The 21,274-nt window shown below is 40.5% G+C and overlaps 1 protein-coding gene across 6 annotated transcripts in view; it reads left to right on the forward strand.

The window, feature by feature from the left end:
- Nucleotides 1-21,274, forward strand: part of ARHGAP10 (Rho GTPase activating protein 10) — a 340,689-nt gene that overhangs the window by 112,904 nt on the left and 206,511 nt on the right. For 5 of the 6 annotated variants that reach the window (XR_001741324.2, NM_024605.4, XM_005263215.4 and 2 more), the window contains exons 4-6: nucleotides 2,160-2,231; nucleotides 12,562-12,663; nucleotides 19,855-19,965. Coding sequence is in view for 5 of the 6 variants with exons in the window: in NM_024605.4 (NP_078881.3) it covers nucleotides 2,160-2,231; nucleotides 12,562-12,663; nucleotides 19,855-19,965 (285 nt within the window). In the remaining variant the exon portion in view is untranslated. Of the gene's footprint in view, nucleotides 1-2,159; nucleotides 2,232-9,684; nucleotides 9,852-12,561; nucleotides 12,664-19,854; nucleotides 19,966-21,274 lie in introns of those variants that run through there. The other variant, XM_047416158.1, reaches the window with a different exon arrangement.

Below are 21,274 nucleotides of genomic sequence, written 5' to 3' on the forward strand. Positions count from 1 at the left end.
CTGATCCCCTGCCATCACTCAGCATTACAGGCTCACTTCATTGCTCCTTACGCTTCAGCCATTCTGGCCTTTTGACATTCCCTGTAATGCTCAAACTCCTCACCTTCATCCTTTGCCTCTGCTGATCTCAGCAGGAAACAATTTCCCTTGCCCTTTGCACCACGGATTCCTTCTCACCTTTTAGGTTTTAGCTTAAATGTCACTACTTTGAAGAAGCTCTCTTTGCACACATTTCTCCTTAGACCTCCTCTAATGCATTCCTCACTGTACTCCTACTTTTCTTCATTGGAAGGAATTACTAGAATGTGCGCTTATATATCTCCTTAGGTGTTCATGTATCTGGCTTACATCTTCTCTACTGAACAGTAATTTCCACGAAGGCAGGGGGCTGTGCTTGTTTTGTTCATAGCTGTATCCCCATCACCTGGCATTGCATGCTTAACAGCTGTTTATCTCGTAAAATAGATAAATATTTAAAGTTTATTAAGATGGCAACTTTGGAGAAGCACCTCTTTGGTACTTTTATTGCCATGTTGCATGGTGGTTATGCTTGGTGGGCCCAGACCTACATGACTTGGAATCCCTATTCCTATCTTCTGTGAACTTGAGCAGTTGTTAGCTTCTGTGATCCCTGCAGTTCATTCTGGGCCGACTTCTTTCTTGAGTGTACCAGTTTCACAGAAGACATATTATATGGAGGTTTATTTGGGATCACTAGTTGGGTAGATCCAGATGTGGGAGCTTAAAAAATGACACAGGTGCTCATGTAAGTGTGCCTTAAGTTATCTATGAGACACTGTGTGTAAATTCATGCACTGTGAAAACGTATGCTAGCACTTCTTGTATCTGTACTCTCAAATGGAATGTGGGACATTCCATATTATTTGGGGAGTCAGGATTCCTGGCTGGTGGTGCTTTGTAGGACTCTTTGGTTTGCCATTGCTGTAGGTCACATGGTCTAAAATGTAGAGAGGATAAAATGATATTTTGAAAGATGATCCCTTTTCCCTGACTAGTTGTTGCTCTTAATTCTTTCTTTTAGAGCTTTGTTGCCCCAGCTATTTTACACCCAAGCAGCAAATTATCCAGGTGGGAGTGAGGGGAATCCAGGGGTCAGCCTGGGGTAGAAAGTTGAAACTGAGCATCCTGAATGTGGGCATAGTCGCTTATTTTGAGTGTTCCCTACGTTAGAGTATGAAGGTCTCTTTGGGAGAAACCCTCACATAATGAAACACTGCTGAGGAGCCTTTGGTTACATTAAGAATCTTTTCCTATTCCAAATCACTTATTTTTTCTGTAATGTTAAGCTTGGATTTTTGATCACCTTTCTAAAAAGAGGGATGGCACATTCTTAAATAGTGTTTCGAGATTTTCTTTTCTATTTTGGATATTTCTGGTCTCCTGGAAGCAGAGGGTGAGAAGCCACTACTCTCACCACTATATTGTTACTAAGTATGTTTTCTTTTGATGAATATTTTCTTTTATTTGCATTTTCAGCATTTTGTGGCTTAACATGAAAATCCCCAAACCAGCCAACATAAAAAGAAAATGTGGTTGTGGCTGGAGTTTGTGTGTGTGGCTTCTCTCATGTGAGCTTCCCTGATGTCATGTTTGCTAGCACGCCCAAGCATTTGACTTTTTCGTGAGCCTCCAGTGACTCTACTTTGCTAATATACCTTAAATCCTTAGGAGGTTTCTGTAATGAAGGGCAGACTGGTTGTATTTGAACAAGTAGCTACAGTCCTAGTTCTTTACATAATGTAGTCTGATTATCAATAAAGGAATGTAATTGAATTTTAAATTTCTAAGGAGGGGGAAGGAAAAAAACAATCTCAAACAGAAGTGTTCTGTTAATGAATGTGATAGACCCCTTTGTTGTTTACAGACAGCCGTCTTGCTGTTTTGTGGAAGAGAGTTGGGGCTGTGTTGTACATTTCACTGGCAATCTGCCCACCTCCTCTTCCCTGAAAATATTTATGGAGTTCTAGTGCTTTAATAAGTTGAGAAGTGATTTAATTGTTGCATTGGCAGAGTGAGATAAAGCCGTTAAATACGTTCATTTTCTTTCTGGGTGGGATGGAAGAGGGAAATGAAATACTAATTTTTTCCTTTTTGGAAACCTAATGCTGTGCTCTTTTGTTATCACTCTTGTTCTCTAGGCATTAAGTGTAACTGAAACCCTGATTAAACCCTTGGAAAAATTCAGAAAAGAGCAACTTGGAGCTGTAAAGGTTTGTGTCTAATTTGAATACACTCAGAAAACATAGATGCCTCTGCTGCTTCATGGTACACTTTATTCACATTTGGCAGCTTTGAAGGAGATGCCGGAGCAAACCATCTGTTGTTTTGTTTGAAATGTGCTTTTCCCCCTTTGGGGGATATGGAATTGGAAACAAAACAAAAACACCTGGACAAGATGGTAAAACCTCTAGTAATCTTCTTGGGCTACACCTTTCCATATAGAGTTTTAAAAATACCTGTAACCAAACAACACATTTGCTCTGAATAGAAGGAGCTTATTACTGGGGGGAGTGTAGTTATTTCTGTGCGCACCTCAGTTTTATGGAGGAGTGTAGCATTACAGTAGGGTTTAAGATTATAGACGCTGCCACACTGTGATGCCGTTGAAACTAGGAAGAGACTATTAAGTTACTGGGATGTAATTTCCTTCAATTTAACAAAAATTTATTGAGCCTCTATTATGTGCAAGTATTGTTATGGTATTGTGCATTATATTGTGTGTTGTATAGTACTGTGCTGGGGATTCAAAGGTGAGTGAACCACAGACTTTGTACTTAAGTATCTGGGATTTAACCGTGATTTCCAGGAATAATGCAGTGGTTTTGCCACAAGGAGCCTGAGATATATTTAGCAACTTATTTAAAATGTGCAATCTGAGCTTTGAAATTACCCCAGAGAAATAATTTCCACCGGTCTTTCCTGAATTTTGTGTATGTACTTGAGAAAGAAAAAGTAACATTTGCATGCTGTTGACCATTTTTGGCTTGGCCCAAGGAGAGGGGAATTAACATCAATTTTAGGTAGGGAAGGGAGTTTTTATATTTGTATTTTTTTCCCCCCACGTGGCTGGGGATGTGAGTTTTTTTTTTTTTCTCTTCCTAAAAGAAATGACTAAAATCCCTTGGTGGAAATAAACACTGTGGCCTCAGTAGCTTAACCACACAGATGAACCCAAGGAGTTCCAGCTCTGTAATTGCTGTTTATGGAATGAATTCTCATTTAAGTGACTTGTGAAAATATTAGACATTTCTTTTTGGCATACCGTATTACAGTTTTTAATGAAGGGCTACGAATTGAGGCTCAGACCCTGTGAACAGTGGGAGATCATTGGGGGCACCACCCCAGGCTCCTTCCTTGGATAGTTTGCCGTGCTGCAGGCAGCTGGGTTGTCCCCTCTGGCTTTGCAGCAGGAGATCGGAGGTCAGCTTTCACTTCTGCGACCTTGACTAAGTAATTGGCTTTAGTTTCTTATATGTAAAATGAAGGACTTGGGGGATCTGACTACTGTTTTATAGTTTTATGATTTTGTTTTGATTGTGTCTCTTTAAGCTCTTTAAAGCTTGTTGCATTTTGGTTCATTCTCTTTTAACATTTCATTGGCAGGTATTCCGTGTAAACAACATCCATTTCTTATTTTTCTCATTTGAATTGGATGGTGCTATATGTGTGACGGTTATATTATGGAAATGAAAATTGAGTGCGAGTGAATATATTTACTTTTACTTGCCATCTATTCTACTGGAATTTAGAAATGTCTGACCTTGAATCTTCTATTGACTCATTTTCCCCCCTAAACTTTCCAGCTTCTGATGTTAACATTTGTTCAGAGTATATCCTGCAAAGCAACTTGCACAATAAGTAATCCTTTTAAAAGGAGAAATGGTTACAATAGTTTATTCTGTGCTTTGAGCTGTTTAATGACCAAATTCTTTCCTGAAGTCCTATTTCTGTATCCCTCCCTGTTCTTCTGGCTTCAAGTTTATAAAGAGTTTATGTTATGTGCAGTCTTGCTCAGTACAGTATGTGTGTTGACTGTTGTACCTATGGATGTCACCTGTGAAGAGCCCGTCATTGTAGGTCATAGGGAGAAGCCCTTTTTCCTGGTAGTTTTGTGTACCATAATAAACAGTAGAGAAAGGTGGTTGTCTGTGTTCTGTAATGATATGTAAACTATGTAAACATCTGTCCTTTTCATTAGGTTGTTAAATCTTTAAAAGACTCTGCTTTTTTTTTTTTTTTTAAATTCTCTACCAGCCCCTACCCTGCCTTAATACATAAAGTATCTAATAAATAGCCTATCCAACTGATAATTCTAGAAGAAACAGGAAAGGGCTTAAGTTTGGGTATTTGAATTACTTTCCACATCTGTGCTGCCTAAACATTCAGTCATATTTTGTCAAGCACACAGTCTTGTTCCTCTGATTAAATCTGCTTACATGGGATACTTCAAAAAGACTTTACTCTCTTAGGTTAAAGAGCTTTTTGTAAACAGCATAAAACAGTTTTCACGTGGGGATTTAAGAAAAAGGTCTCTAAAAGTTGACCACATCAGAATTTTTAGATATGGGGGTCAACATTTTGATCTTTCCCCGTCTCCTGTTTCCCATCTGATAATGTTGTAGCCCTTGCCTGAAGCTCTTTCAGTTCCCTGTGCTTTTACCTTCTCCGGTTTCCAGAAGCCCAGTTCCATGTTTAACTGTGGTTTAAATCTATTCTAAGTGGCTAGGTGGTTTTTGTAAATTGGATTTTGAAAAGCCCCCAGGTATTGTCTACTGTTTTGCTTATATTTGGATATGCTCTCCTTGAGCCCTATCTGTTTGGTTTGGACGTATCCCTCCATTTTATGGGTTCTGCTGCATTTTCTTATGTGCTTGCTAGGTTCTAGCTTTTGTTCAAAAAGCCCTTTTGCTATCACAGTGAGAGGTGAAGCCAGCTGGGCTTCTGGGTCGGGTGGGGACTTGGAGAACTTTTCTGTCTAGCTAAAGGATTGTAAACGCACCAATCAGCGCTCTGTATCTAGCCAAAGGTTTGTAAATGCACCAATCAGCACTCTGTAAAAACACACCAACCAGCACTCTGTGTCTAGCCAAAGGTTTGTAAATGCACCAATCAGCACTCTGTAAAAATGCACCAATCAGTGCTCTTTGTCTAGCTAATGGTTTGTAAATGCACCAATCAGCACTCTGTAAAAATGGACCAATCAGCACTCTGTAAAATGGATTAATCAGCGCTCTGTAAAATGAACCAATCAGCAGGCCGTGGACGGGGCCAAGTAAGGGAATAAAAGCTGGCCATCCAAGCCAGCAGGGGCAATGCTTGGGTCCCTTCCCATGCTGTGGAAGCTTTGTTCTTTCACTGTTTGCAATAAATCTGGCTGCTGCTCACTCTTTGGGTCCACACTACCTTTATGAGCTGTAACACTCACCACGAAGGTCTGCAGCTTCACTCCTGAAGCCAGGAGACCATGAACCCAGCGGGAGGAACAGACAACTCTCTATGCGCCACCTTTAAGAGCTGTAACAGTCACTGCAAAGGTCTGCGGCTTCACTCCTAAGTCAGCAAGACCACGAACCCACCAGAAGGAAGAAACTCCGGACACATCTGAACATCTGAAGGGACAAACTCCGGACACACCATCTTTAAGAACTGTAACACTCACTGCGAGGGTCCGCGGCTTCGTTCTTGAATTCAGTGAGACCAAGAACCCACCAGAAGGAACCAATTCTGGACACAACAGGACACAGGTTGTTGCCTGATGCATCACGTCAAGAGTTTCTCTAAGGCCTAGCTGAGTTCTTATTTTCTTTTGAAGCTCCTTCACCCTTTTTGAGCTTGGCACTTATTGCCAAATGTCCCACAGGACTTTGTGGGTAGCTACAGGAACCAGTACAGATCCTGAACAACTTAGGGGCCAAGTATGTTGAACAAAAACTCTGAGAAATACCAGAACGTGATAAGAGTTAACATGGGATAAATTGCTTTTTTGGACATTTGACCAAGTAATGAAAATATGGGTTTGGGCAAGCAGCAGCACACAGATGACAGGTGGATGCAACTAACTGGATTGAGAATGGAATCTATTCAGATGCTATCTTGGAAAGAGCCAATTATAATTTTATCCAAATAGAAGAAGAATTTTAGGCAGAAAACTTAATAGATGTTCATTTCACAAATTATGACTTATCACCTAAGCTCATTACCAGACCTCTACTCCAAATTTCTTTCCAAGACTATGACTAATAATTTTTTTTTTTTTTTAAAATACAGGATTTCATTCTGTTGTCCAGGCTGGGCAGCAGCCTTGAACTCCTGGGTCAGATGATCTGAGCAGCCAGGACTACAGATGCCTGCCACCATGCATGGCTAATTTTAAAATTATTTTTGTAGAGACGGTCTCTCTGTGTTGCCCAGGCTGGTCTTGAACTCCTGGGCTCAATTGATCCTCCTGCCTCGGCCTTCCAAAGTTCTGGGATTACAGGCTTGAGCCACTGTGCCCAGCCTAATGAATACATTTTAAATACAGACTTCCAAAGATTCTATAAATTACTACAAAACATGAGTAAAACTTAAACCTGTCTGGATAATTTCTCATATTACATTGTATTTAATAGAGCAGAAACAATATTGATTTAGTTTAATTACATTTCTTTCATTCAGTAATAAAACACACTAGTGCCTATCATACAGCATAGTATTAGAGGCCCTGAGATACAACTAGGAATTACAACACTGGCCAGCCTTCAGGAAGTTAGCAACTTTTTGTGAGACTGTCAAAAAAGCAATAAAAATATATTGTGGAAAGTGCTGTAATAGCGGTAAGCATAGGTGTCCTGGGATGTACTCTACCATCTCATCTTTGGAGCACCAGAAAGTCTTTCAGGAAGAGTTAATTCTTCCTGGTTTGAATCCTCTTTCGGTGCCTTAATTAGCCATGTGATTTGGGACAAGTGACTTAAGGCCTCTAAGTCTCAGTTTCCTGGTCTGTAAAATGAGACTTACGACACTTGTCTCAGGAGGTTATTGTGAGAGTTGAGTGAATTTGATAATGTACCTGAAGTGTCTAGTTTGGGACCTGGTATCCATAGAGTAATTTTATTATCCCATTCATGACTTGCTCCCCATCACCTTGCCAAACAGGAGTTGCTCAGCTTTTTGTCCATTCTCTGCATTCTGGGTTTAGGGGTGACAAGCCATAGCATGTGGCTTATGACCTTTATGGACAAATAGTGCTAAGGCACTGGATTAGTGACTCTGGAGCCACCACTGAGGAACCGAGGTGGCACTTTGCCAGCGTTGGTGCTGCTGCAGTCCTGTGCTGGCCGTTCACTTGTGCTCTGACAGGTGTCTGCCAGGCACCCTTCTGGGTCTGGATTCAAGTGCTCCATTCTGTGAGGATGAAGTTGAATTCTCATCTCTTTAGAGAGGCTAGAGGAGCTTAAAGGAAAGGGGTGGGTTGGGGTAGGATAGGGCAAATGAAGTGTCAAGTAGGAACGAGTGACACTTGCCTTGGGAGTTAAGGGAGGGTGTGCCTTCTCCCTGCTGGAGTGGGGAGTCCTCACTTAACATTATCAGTAGGTTCTTGGAAACTGAATTGAAGCAAAGCAACACATAAGGAAGCCAGTTTTACCATGGGCCGATTGACGTAAACAAAAGTTTTTATGTCATATTTCTGGTCTCAGAACATCACCAAACTTTTTTTTTTTTTTTTTTTTTTTTTTAAAATGGAGCGGAGTTTCGCCCTTGTCACCCAGGCTGGAGTAGAATGGCATGATCTTGGCTCACTACAATCTCCGCCACCCAAGTTCAAGTGATTCTCGTGCCTCAGCCTCCCAAGTAGCTGGGATTACAGACATGCGCCAGCACGCCAGGCTAATTTTGTATTTTTAGTAGAGATGGGGGGTTTCACCATGTTGGTCAGGCTGATTTCAAACTCCTGACCTCAACATCACCAAACTTCTCAATACCACAACACTTTTAATATTAAATATTGAAATAAATGTGAGCTATACATACATTTAAGAAAGATTAATGAAAACAAGATAATCATTTACTCACTCCTGTTCAGGGTCGCAGGTGGCTAGAGCCCATTTCAGCAGCTCAGAGTGCAAGGTGGACACCAGCCTTGGACAGGGCATGATCCCACACTCGCTCACACAGTACTATTTAGACATGCTGGTGAACTGACCTAAGAGATGTGGGAGGAAATAGTAGATACCCAGAAGGAATCCACACAGGCACGGGAGAACCTGCAGACTCCACACGGACAGTGGCCCTGGCCACGAATCGGTTTTTATTTTTCCCTTATTAATGTTATAATGAAATGATGCTATTCAAGGACCTGCCATATTTAAGTTCTTCTCTAGACGAGTCCAACAGTAAACATTATTTAATTTTGTAGTTTGAAAATAAGCCTTTTCCATCTCCTCATCCTAAACAATTGGAAAATAAAGAAAATTCAAAAAAAGTCATCTAGTAACAAATTCTTTCCTCTTCTAAAGCAAAATAATCTGGTACCCTATAGAAAAATGGGCAATTCACAATTATGTTTAAACTTTTATGAATTCTTTGTGTTCTTTATCCATTTTTCAGTGGAAGCATTATTGTGTGTTTTTTGCAAAAAACTGCTTAATGAAGAATATATTTTGTGTTACAAATGTTTCCCTACGTTCTTACATATTGGTTGTAATCCTCCCCCCTTTGCTGTGTGCCCTTTGCTTGATTATTATGATTTTTTTTTTATATTGGCAAGTTCTTATGGCTTCTTTCTTTCCTTTTTTGCTTAGAAGATCCTTCTCTATTCTGAGATTTGTTGAAAATACTCTCTATGGCTTCATTGTTTACTTGTGACTCTTTCAATCCATCTGGAATTAATTTTGATATGAGATGAGGTTCTCTTTCTGCTTCCCAGTAAACAGTCATGCCAGCACCAATGGTTGAATCGTCTCTTCCTTTTTTTAAACCCAGTGATGTGTAATGACAAATTTATATAGTTTTTGACCTCTAATGGTATTCAGAAGATCTGGTTATTTGAATTGGGGTTCTTAGGTTCTTCTCTTCTACCATTTATATAACGTATGTCTTTTTTTTGACCCAAAATGCTGTTCTAAGTAGTAGCTCTACTTTTAAAAAAGGTTTTGCATGTGCAATTTTATAACAGATTAGAAAGCTGACTTCTACCATATTCAACTTATAAATTTTGTTTGGCTTCCTCGTGTTGTTACAATTAAGAAAAAATGTGTTGCCACCATAAAAATCATTGGATTTTTCAGCAGTTCCAGAGAAATCAGAAGACATGGCCAACATACTGGGCTTGTGTTCTCAAGAGGCAAAAATGTTCTGGCGCTGAGTAATGGCTGCCTTCTTCTCTGGAGTAGACGAGGACTATCTGGTTTTCATTGCCTACCACTCCTGATTGCATTTCTCTCCCAGCCTGTTTCACTCATTAGATTACTGCCTGGCCCAGACTCATTTCAGTTTTTGTAATGTCTGATTTATAAGAAAAGTTTTCATATTGTATTTAACTTGATCCTTGTTGGAACTTTTTGGATTACGCTGTTACATTTATATATTTTTTTCTGTAATGCAGTATTGGGGGAAAAAAAAAGCTCCATTCTTTATTGAATGCTACTTGAATAGTTTCCTTTGAAATTTGTATCATTTCAGCACAAGAAATCATATGAGCACAAAGAAACAATAATACTCTATAATGACATTAAGAACAAATGCAGGAAGAAATAATTACCTGCGTTTTAAGATTCAGAAACAAAACACAGCAGCATTTGTATAATACCATACCATATATGGACGAAGATATTTCTATTCTAAGCTTGGTGGGTGTGATGTTGTTATTGTTGTTTCTTGGCTAAATTCTTTCTTCATAAAGGCTTGATGTCTCCTTTTTCTTTCATTCCCAACTTTACCCACATGTTGATTTTCATAGCCTTCTATTGCTGAGTGTGCTGGGTGTTTTGACCGCTGATTAAAGCGTCACCCCTTCCTCGGCCCCTTTCTGTGATTCAGATTAAATCAAATAAGGTGGTAAAAATGTTTTCCATGTTCCTGGTAAGTACTAGTCTGCAGTGATAGTGCTTCTTACTATGTGACCTTGCTTTGCAGCAGTCTTGTGGGCAAATGCAGGGGCCTGACTTCCATTTGTCTTTTGTTTAAGTCTGAGAAACAGATGCTCAGAGAATGTTTGTGACCTTGCTACAGAGTCACAGAGTAATGAGTGGCTAGGACTGCAGCTTGGGTCTTCTGACACCTAATTCAGTGTGTACTTCACAGCATCAACTTTTTAAAATAGTGGACATTTTTAGGTAATGGGCATCTGTTTGTTTCAGTTTATTTTCTGTTAGTTGTTAAAATAGTGGAAGAGCATAATGAAAAGCAGAAAAGAGAGTAACTATGTAATATCAATACATTGGACTTAGTTGTAAATTAAAAAAACCTAGAGCGTAAAGAAAAATAAAGTCTTCTGATCCTCTGTATCAACAAAAGAGTGACTATTAAGTAAAAGAGGTTAAAATACAACTTCTGCTTTTTTTTGGTTCCATTTCTACACATGGGTGAACCATAGGATCACAGAATTTTAGGTCTGGATCTATGAGGCAGTTAAAGAAAAGTCCCTGATCTTTTTGGTAAGAAAACTTAGGTTCTATATTGTCAGATGGTTTTTTTTTTTTTTTTTTTTTTAAGTTGTGCAGCTAGTTGGTAATTAACCTTGGAGTAGAAAAGGGAAGAAACCTCAGTTCCTGAGTCTCTCCTCCTCCATCAGTGTGGGGGAGTTAATTGAGGGCTTTTAGATGACCTGACAGGGGACATACTGTCCTGGGTTTCCAGAAGAACAGCGTGTGGTCCCATGTGGTGAAAAAAGATAAATAAAAGAAGTAGAGAATTAACATGCTTTGTTTAATCTCTTTGCCTAACAGGAAGGAAATCATACCAGAAAAGGCTGGAATAGTTCATTATTTTTGCTTTGGAAAATACAAGTTGGAAAATTAGGGAAGAGAATGTTCCTTTTTTAGGAGGTGTGGAGAGTTAGGGAGAATTTGAAATTAATGGAAACATTTTGACAGCATGAGGACATGGTGTGCTCTCATTGATACTCAAGAATGTTTATTAAAAATCTGTCAAGTTGGCTGACAGCTTTAGGGGAGACACCCATCTTCTCTGCATTTATAAATGTGTATACTTATTTTCTCAAAAAGCTTCTATAGCAAAAGGAATGCAAGTATGTCCTAATTCTAGACAGTACCTAAGAAATGTTTGTGATGTTAACCAAAGGGTGAGTACTGGTATATCAATATTATTTTAGGCCCTGTTGACCTATTGATACGTATTTTAAATAGCGTTACAGAAATCACTGGAAAGGTTTGGGAAAGTAGATGACATTTCTGGTAGACAATCTTATTGCTATACAGGTCGATCATCCTGAATCTGAAATCCGATATGCTCCAAAATTTGAAATGACACTACAAGTGGAAAATTCCACACCTGGCCTCTTGCTCTCTGATGGTTCAGTGTACATAAGCTTTATTTCATGTACAAAATTATTAAAAATATTGTATAAAATTACCTTTAGGCTATGTGTGATAGGTGTATACAAAACAGAAATGAATTTCACGTTTAGACTTAGGCCCCATACCCAAGATACCTCTCTTTGTATACACAGATATTCCAAAATTCAAAAATATCCAAAAATCTCTACCACTTCTGGTTCTAAGCATTTCAGAGAAGGGATACTTAACCTGTATTCATACTGGACCATTAGGGAAGATCTTTCCCAAGATGTTTTTTTTCCAACACTGATTATGTATTATGATTTTTTGAAAATCTAGAGTAAAACATACTGATTGATTGAGACAGAGTCTCACCCTGTTGCCCAGGCTGGAGTGCAGTGGTGTGATCTCGATTCACTGCAACCTCCGCCTCTGGGGTTCAAGTGATTCTCACGCCTCAGCCTCCTGAGTAGCTGGGATTACAGGTGTGTGCCACCACACCCTGCTAACTTTTGTATTTTTAGTAGGGACGGGATTTCACCACGATAGCTGGCTGGTCTCGAACTCCTGACCTCAGGTGATCCGCCCGTCTTGGCCTCCCAAAGTGCTGAGATTACAGGTGTGAGCCACTGGCCTATTATTCCATTTTAAACGAATTCCACGTCTGTGCCAAAATCTGGAGCAAGTTTGCTTTTTTAAGCTTTATGTTATTTTTCTTACGTATTTTGTTTCATTCGGTTGGTGAGGGGTGAGTGACGTGGAATTAATTTTTAACATTGCTAAGTCTGAAGAACTGAAAAATAACATAGGCTTGGAAAAAAGTCCATTAAAGGAAGAAATAAAAGTGTCTCTTCTATCCTAATGCTGTCTTGATGATTAAGCAGTAGGCTTGGTACAGATATGTTTTTTTAGATAGCTTTATCACATTCAGAGTGGTGCTTTGTTTTATTTTCAGATATTTTTCATAATTTGAGCTTCCCAGTGGATTAACCATGTGTATCCTTTTGTTTCTGTTTAATCATAGTTTTTTTTTTATTTGTAGGAAGAAAAAAAGAAGTTTGACAAAGAGACAGAAAAGAATTATAGTCTAATTGATAAACATTTGAATTTATCAGCAAAAAAGAAAGACTCACATTTACAAGAGGTATAATTTTTTATTTTTCTGTTACGTTTTCAAAATTTGATAAGCAATACATGTCTTTTAAAAATGTGCTTTAATTTGGATAACTTTTCATCTGGCATTATATAGAGATAACAAAAAGTGAACAGGTATTGTCATAAATTAAGAAAAAAGTCCTTGTGAAACAAGAAAAAATAATGAATACATCTTATAGTGATTAATGAGCTATGGATTCATAGTAGTAAAATTTTTGTTTCTGAGCATTATTTTATAGGAACATAACTTTAAACCAGCATTAGTGAAGAACAGATATATTATTTGCAGGAATAGATCAATTAATTGGCTTTTGGGAGTTCTTGAAGAAATGAATTGAATTTAATAAGCTCATATACCATTATGCGTTTATGTGAAGGCAGCATTAATCTTATTTAATGCTGAGGATTCAGGAGGTTCAACTTTGTTGGAAAGAGAGCATCTGTTTTACTTGTATTAATAGACTCATTTATTTTGGAGGCAGCCATATGTAAGCAGGAAGGAATTTATATTTTATTTTTCATTTTCTCTTTGTTTACTTCTAAATCCCCTGCCATTTGTTTCTCTCACTCACACACTTGGATGGAAACTCAGTTGTTTACAATTCAAAACAAAATGCTTTTATTAAAAATAATGCTGTTTGCCATTGTTAGGATTTAGTCTCATCCCACAAAATTGTATTTTTTTTTCTTGTTTTTTTAACACATAAGGAATCTGGACATTATGTACTACTGTCATAAACACTTATTGAAGTATTATCAAAATGACACAGTATTAAGTCTTGTGTAAACCTGGATTATATTTAAATGTTAGCTATTTAGTTACATACTCTGTGTGTGTATGGTTTGTTTGACATTATCCACATGTGACTTTTTCTTTTGTGTCTCTAATACCTTTGACTGACATTTGGATGGCACTTGACAGTTCATAAAAGAGAAAAGAGCTTTTACACCTCTTCGTCCTTACTGCAGTACTTTGGGTAGGGCTCTGTTCTCTCCTTGTTGCATATTATTGTGTGCTCCCTCATCTCCTGCCCTCTGTCAATTTTGAGATGACAGCTGCAGCTTTTACAGGCCCCCTTTATGCTAGCAGTTCTCTACCTGTGTTTGCTCTCACCTCCATTTTCAGGTATCCAAAAAAAGATCTTCATTCCCCAAGTGAATTTCCAAATCCACTTCACTTTCTCATTAGGTATTTCATTTTAAACTTTGCTTAGGCAACATCTTTGGAGTCACCTTGGCCCTTTCTCTTACACTCCCCATCTAGTCCATCAGTATGTCATCTTTAGTTCCAGAATATAATCAGAGTGTGTCCACTTCTCATGACTCGCTCTTCTCCAAACCCTCCTAATGGCTTCTCCAGAGGCCCCAGGGCCACAAGATCCTATATGTTCTGCACCCAACCCAGCTGGGGTCAGCATAGCATATACTCAGGGCCGTTGTATTTGTTTTCCTTCTGCCTGGTATGTTTTCAACAGGGATCCATGTGTCTCAAACCTTCAATTACTCTTCCAAATACTCTCCACTCAGAGGTCAGTTTATTAAAAGTTTTTCCTGACCTTCTTATTTAGAATGTCCCCTTTACTCTGCTTTATATTTTTTTCATATTCCTTTTTTTTTTTTTTTTGAGATGGAGTTTTGCTCTTGTTGTCCAGGCTGGAGTGCAATGGTTAGATCTTGGCTCACTGCAACCTCCACCTGCCGGATTCAAGCGATTTTCCTGCCTCTGTCTCCTGTGTAGCTGGGATTACAGGCGCCCACTACCACGCCCAGCTAATTTTTTGTATTTTTAGTAGAGACAAGGTTTCATGATGTTGGCCAGGCTGTTCTTGAACTCCTGACCTCAGGCGATCCACCCACCTTGGCCTCCCAAAGTGCTGGGATTACAGGCACGAGCCACAGGGCCCAGCCTATTTTTTTTCATAGTCTTAAAACTGTTTGACAAACTGTGCATTTGTTACGTGGCTTCTTCCACTAGAATGTAAGCTTCTTGAAGGCAACAACATTGTCTTATTCAGTGTTCTATCTTCAGTTCCTAGAACAGTACCTGTTAAGGAGTAGGTACTTAATGTATATTTATTGAATGAACTAGTGTGGAGATGCTTGTACAGTGAGCTGGGGCTCCAGCAATTTATCAGTCCCAAGGATAATTAACCTCTAGAAACATGAAGAGATCCTAACGATGAATAATTTGTTTCATTTAAATTACATACACTTTTTAATCTTGCTCTGTTTGCTTTTTACAAACTTACATGCTCTCACTGAAGCAGCCTTCTATTTTAAGTGTGAAGCCCTTAATAGGGGGGATGCTTTTTAAAGGGGAAAATGTTAGGTTTGGATATTCATTACTTTTGGCAGTGGTTAATGTAATGCTAATTTTCAGTGAATTGAGATGCTCAAGAGATTCATAAGAGTTGCAGAGAATGATACTGAACAAAGGCTTAGAAACGTACATAATTCATTCTCTCCTCTTGCTTCAATTGAAAATAACAGGAGAAGGCCGGGCGTGGTGGCTCACGCCTGTAATCCCAGCACTGTGGGAGGCCGAGGCGGGTGGATCACGAGATCAGGAGATCCAGACCATCCTGGCTAACACGGTGAAACCCCGTCTCTACTAAAAATACAAAAAATTAGCTGGGTGTGGTGGCAGGTGCCTGCAGTCCCAGCTACTCAGGAGGCTGAGGCAGGAGAATGGCGTGAACCCAGGAGGTGGAGCTTGCAGTGAGCCGAGATGGGGCCACTGCACTCCAGCCTGGGCGACAGCTCCGTCTCAAAAACAAAACAAAACAAAACAAAACAAAACAAAAAAAACCAGGAGAAAATTGTGGCATATACCATGCTGGCTATTTTGGCAGTTCTCTGAGGCCTTGCTGCTATACCTCTATGTTTATTGGGCATAATAGCTTCTACCTCCATCCACACCCCTACATTCTACTTAATAGTTGTACTGTAACAAGTATTGGATATTTGAGAAAATTCCATTTCTGTTTATTTTTGAAGTCTATTTTTTCTTCCCAAGTAGCCAAATGATATTTCAGTATAATAATAATCTACTTGAGAAGCAGATTTCCTAAATAACTTTATGTGAGACTTGTCTACTTTCTTACATATATTTACAGCAGGAATGGCTAGAAATTAGTTGATAATCAAATTGAAATTGTGTATTTGTTAAAAACTAGTGATTTGCTTGGAGTAGTAAAACGTATAGTGATTGCCTTTTAGATTTGGTCAGGCTGAAGGAAATCATTTTGTGACCCTAGTTACAACTTGGACGTCCATGGCATTCTTGTAAGTGAGGGCTGTTGTCACGGAATTTTTAGGATGTCTCTTTTCCAGCCAGAAATCTCTGTGTCTGGTGATGCCTTTGCCCAAGTTTTGCTCTGGCCCGCTGGGCTTGTTCTGCCTGCTCTTCCTGGCAGGCTGCACTCGGCTTGTGCTACTGGCCTGGATCTCATGCCTGCCAAGGGCGAGCCAGGCACGGAGTGGCGAGGAGTTCGTGAGTGAGTTCAGGGTCATCCGGCCACTGTGCACAGCCGGGCATGCCGACTGTGGTGGGGCAGGCAGCTCCAGGCACAGGCACTGGCTCCGTGCAAGGCTGTGGCTGGACCAGGCATACTGCAGGTCGCTTCCATTGTGGGCACTGGGAACACGGTGGCACCCGGAAACTTGGAGACACCAGGAACCGCAGAGCCCCAAAGAGGATGTCACAGCCCTGGCTTAGGGAGCCCCTAGGTCTGGGCTCCCCGAAGGGCCGCAGCTCTTCTCTCCTTCTCGTCGCCCACAATGTAGTGAGCAGGGGAGGGGGAGGATCACCCCTGTTTGTGTTACAGCTCTTTCAGTCTGGCCATTCCTTGGGTCCCAAGTTCTTGTCCCACATCCAAGAGGAATGAGGTATGGAGACAACTGGAGGGTGAGCAAGGTACAGGGGAACTTCATTGAGCAACAGAACAGTTCTCAGGAGACCTGAAGTGAGTAGCCTTTTTCTGCAGGCAGGTCGACGTAATGAGTGTCCAGCTCTCACTGGAGAGGAGACCTGTAGTGCATAGCTCCTTTCCACAGGCAGGTCATCCTGACTAGTGGAGGAGACCCCCAGAGGGTTGCTCCTTCCAACAGCTGGTAGTCCCCATGTCTTTCTGAGTCTGGCTGAGTCCAGAGTTTTTCTGGGCTCAGAAGGGAGGAAGTGTGCTGATTGGCCCATGCGCAGCCATGAGTGGGCCTGGAAAAAGCACCGTAAGTTTTCATCCCAGGCTGCAGACTCCACCTAGAACTGGCAGCCCAGCGGCTCCCAGGCTTCAGGCCATCCCTGGCTTGAAGCTGGGGTTTCACCAGGGACCTGTCTGTCCCTTCCCACCTAGGAACCTGTCTCCCGCAGCTGTCAACATGTCATCCATGGCGCCCAAGGTATTTGTGCCAAGAGGTGCCTGCAGGCCCCTGTTAAGCTGCTCTCAGCCCCCTGGCCTCCCTCCTGTGCTTGTTGGCATCCAAAGTCCAGAGGGGGCCGAGCTGGAGGTTGGGGTTACCAGGGGCGCTGGCATGTCAGAACCACCCTGTGTGCATGCATACCCGGCTGGGTGGCAACAGTACCTGGGCTTGGCTACAACTTTGCTCCACACTGCATCAGGCGCCGGGAGCCGGGAGAGGCCAGGGAGCAGGAGCAGGCACTTCTTGAGCCTGCTGGTGGGGCAGTGGGCCTTCGCCGGCCCCCAAGAGCACAGGGATGCCCTGGTCCAGAGCTGTGGCTGCACGGCTGCAGCTGTGTCTGGGAGCATGGGGCTCCTGCCCTGATAACTCTGTAGAAGTTGGGGCTCCTGCCTGTTTCTGGCCCCCGCGGGCACCATGGAGTGCGCAGCCCTGGCTGCACTTTGCCCTCTGCAGCTGGTGTCCTCACAGCGGCTGCTCCAGACTGGCCGCTGCTGCCATCATTGCCAGTAATCCCAGGGATTCTGGTGATTTAATCACAGAGCATGTGGCACAACAGTTCTGGATTTTCAGAACATTAAGGGGGTGGTGATAGAGGTTGACTGGTAATGCAAGGGTAATTACAGTAGCAAGAACAACCAGGAGAGAGAATTTACTAAAAGATAAAATCAAATTGATAAATCTGATGCTGGTATAAATTTCTTCAAGAGCCTTTGCAGTAATAACAAATGAGGAAATCACCCTTCTTATGTCTTTATTAAATAGTCAACAAAATTACAGTGTTTTTGCTGGGAGATGTGCCAACTAACTGCTGATGGCTGAACTATCAAACTCTGGTTATTGGAGGCACAAAAATATGATTCAGATGAGTGTTAGGTAGAAATTCTCATTTTAGCTTAGTAATATATATTAAAGTATTTGCTGAAATGGTTTTTATTACATTTTGAAATGTGTTTCAAATGTGTTAAATGCTTTTCAAAAACAACACATTTTTGGTTATAAAACGTGAATAAAATTTCAATAAAATGTATGATTTTATTTTAAAGTCTATGGCCCAGTGGTATTAAGTACATTCACATTGTTTTGCAACTGTCACCACCATGCATCTCCAGGGCTTTTTAAAAAATCTTCCCAGACTGCAGCTCTGTACCTATTAACAATAACTCTCCATTCTCCCCTGCTCCAGCTCCTGGCAGCCGTCGTTCTGCTTTCAGTTTCTATGAATTTAACTACTCTAGGTGTCTCATGTGAGTGGGATCATATAGTATCTGTCCCTTTGTGACTAGTTTATTTCACTTAGCCTGATGTCCTCAAGGTTTATCCATGTTGTAGTATGTATCAGAATTTCCTTCCTGTCTAAGGCTGAATAATATTCTGTTATACATATGGATTGGCTACATTTTATTTACTCATCCATCCATCCATGGGCATTGGGGTCACTTTGCCCCCTGCTGCTATGAACAGGGGTGTACACATATCTGTTCGAGTCTCTGCTTTCAGTTCTTTTGGGTATATGCCCAGCTGTAGAATTGCTGGGTCATGTGGTAATACTATTTTTCATTTGAGGGAAAAATTTATTTTAATTTTTTGCTGGGAGTTGTGCCTGTTAACTGCTGGTGGCTGAACTATTGAATTCTGGTTAATGAAGCCACAAAAATATGATTTTGAGGAGTGTTAGGTAGAAATGTTCATGTTAGCTTAGTAACACGTTATGTTTCAATATTATTTTACTTAAAGCACTATTTTTCACAGTGCTTGTACCATCTTGCATTCCCACTAATGATGCACAAGGGTTTCAGTTTCTTGACATCCTCACCAACACCACTACTTTTCTTTTTTGTACAGTAGCCACCCTAGTGAGTGTGAGGTGGCATCTCCTTGTGAGTTTGATTTGCATCCTAATGATGAGCGATGTTGAGTGTCTTTTCACATGCTTATTGGCCTTTTGTATATCCTCTCTGGAGAAATGCCCAGATAAATATTTTTAAGAGTAAAATTAGCTAAGTTAGGAAAAATATCACATGATACCTAGTAAGAATGGTTTCTTGGACATGAGTTCTCTCTCCACTATTCTCTGTGGAGTCCTGCTCTTCTCCCAGTTCCTTTCTAGTTAGGCAAGCTAAGCTGGAAGCTTTTTTTGGAATAGCGTCCTGACCAGCTGGTGCCCCCTTCTCTCCCAGGGGATCAGACGTTCTGAGGGCCGCAGATGGGCGTCCAGCCCTGGCCCGCCTTTGAGAGCCGGGTTCTTGAGATGCTGCCATGGCTGGCTCCTTCTCACTTGCCGCCATCACTCCCTGAGCGCTGAGGTGCTGGGCCCTTTCTCAGGCAGACTTTATTCCTAGAGGATTTGTTCATCGAAATGTTTGTTGATTGTGATTGCATGTGGTTCAGCCTTGGGGCATCAGTTGTGGTTGGGGTGAGTTTTTCAAGAAGAGAAGTCCCTTTGATCTTCAGTTCTTGGGGGTCAACTTCAACAAACAGAGTAGGAGTCACAAGCTTTTTCTGCAAAGAAACTGATAGTAAATATTTTAGACTTCTGTGGACCATAAAGTTCCTGTTGCACCTGCTCAATTCTGCTGTTGCAGCAGGAAAGTAGCTGCAGACAATACATAAATGAATTGTCGTACCTGTGTTGCAATACTTTATTTACAAAATCAGGCAGCACACCGTATTTTGGCCCATGGACCACAGTGTGATGACCTCTGATGTAGCGTTTCACTTTTCACCATCTCCAGTTTGACTAACCTCTGTGATTTTAACATAGGCAGATATCCAAGTAGAGCAGAACCGGCAACACTTCTATGAACTGTCTCTCGAGTATGTGTGTAAGCTGCAGGAAATCCAAGAAAGAAAGAAGTTTGAGTTTGTGGAACCTGTGAGTATTGCCAAGTTGTTTGCTGGTGGATTTTTGCAATGTAAGATAAGTATTTATTTTCCTAGATCTGATTTATGGTTTATAGTTACTAGAGGCCATAGTGCATAAACATGAAAGAGACATATTAAAAAGGGCAGACACAGATAGCCATGAAGTCAAGGAATTGCCTCTAAATCAGTGGTTCTCAGCTGTATTTGCACTGATAATACACGTAATATTCCCATTGCTACATGATCTCAAGGAAGGCAACCATGTGCAATTTCTGCCACCTTAGCCTATAGCTCTATCTTTTAAAAATTTCTCTGAAATAATTTATACTAGAATGAGTGAACATGGGTTGTTTATACCGGTTCAAACTTTGGTACTTTAAACAATCGTTTGTAACATGACTTCAAACACAATTCACAATGCTTATGGCAATCTAAGTTTAGAAGCAGGATATGGAACATTTGAGACAATTTTGTGAGTTACTCTAACATTTCTTTTTACTTATATTAGAAACACATGATTTTTGTTTGTGATTATATAGATGTTTTCTAGTAGCTTCAGTTGTTTATATATGAAGATGTATGCACATGAATGTATATATCATAATGTAAAGGATATTTCATGTGGATTTCAGCAAAAAAACACTGGATCTCATTCTCAGGATTCATTTTAATTTTAATATCGACTTATTGAATGGTTTCTTTTTCTTAAACAGCTTTATTAAGATAATATTCACACAGTATACAATTTACTCATTGTGAGTATGGTTTATAGAAACAAGAATAACCAAGTAATGATTAAAAATGAGCATTTGTGGAGCTATGGTTTAGTTGGAGCGATAGTCATTAACCTAAACCATTAGAGAAAAACTCAACCTCCTCAAAGCTTTCTTTTTAATGTGAAATAATAATAATGGCCTGCTTTTATTGGGCATTTATAATGCTCAGTCTCTGTTCAAGCCATTGTTCTAAGTGTTGTACCGAACTCATTATTCCACACTATAACTCAATGAGGAGATAAGGAAATAGAAGTAGAGAAAGGCTGAGTAATTTGCCTAAGGTCCCATAACAGGTCATGGCTGACGTTGGGAATGGAGCCTGCTGGGTGTCAGAGCCCCAGATTCCTAACCACCCACGGTGTGGCATTTGGAAGAAAATGAATCTCAAGATTTCCTTAACTGTCTCCCCAGATCACTTCTTTTTACTTCTAGATTTATTGACTTACATGTGGAGCAGAGGCAACAGCCCTCTAATTCAGAGACAGGTTGGGAGTTGGTAGGAAAGTAAAGGTTTAATTACGGGTTTGAGGCTGCCCCTGGCAA

Source organism: Homo sapiens, chromosome 4 (genome assembly GCF_000001405.40).
Source record: "Homo sapiens chromosome 4, GRCh38.p14 Primary Assembly".
Taxonomy (NCBI): domain Eukaryota; kingdom Metazoa; phylum Chordata; class Mammalia; order Primates; family Hominidae; genus Homo; species Homo sapiens.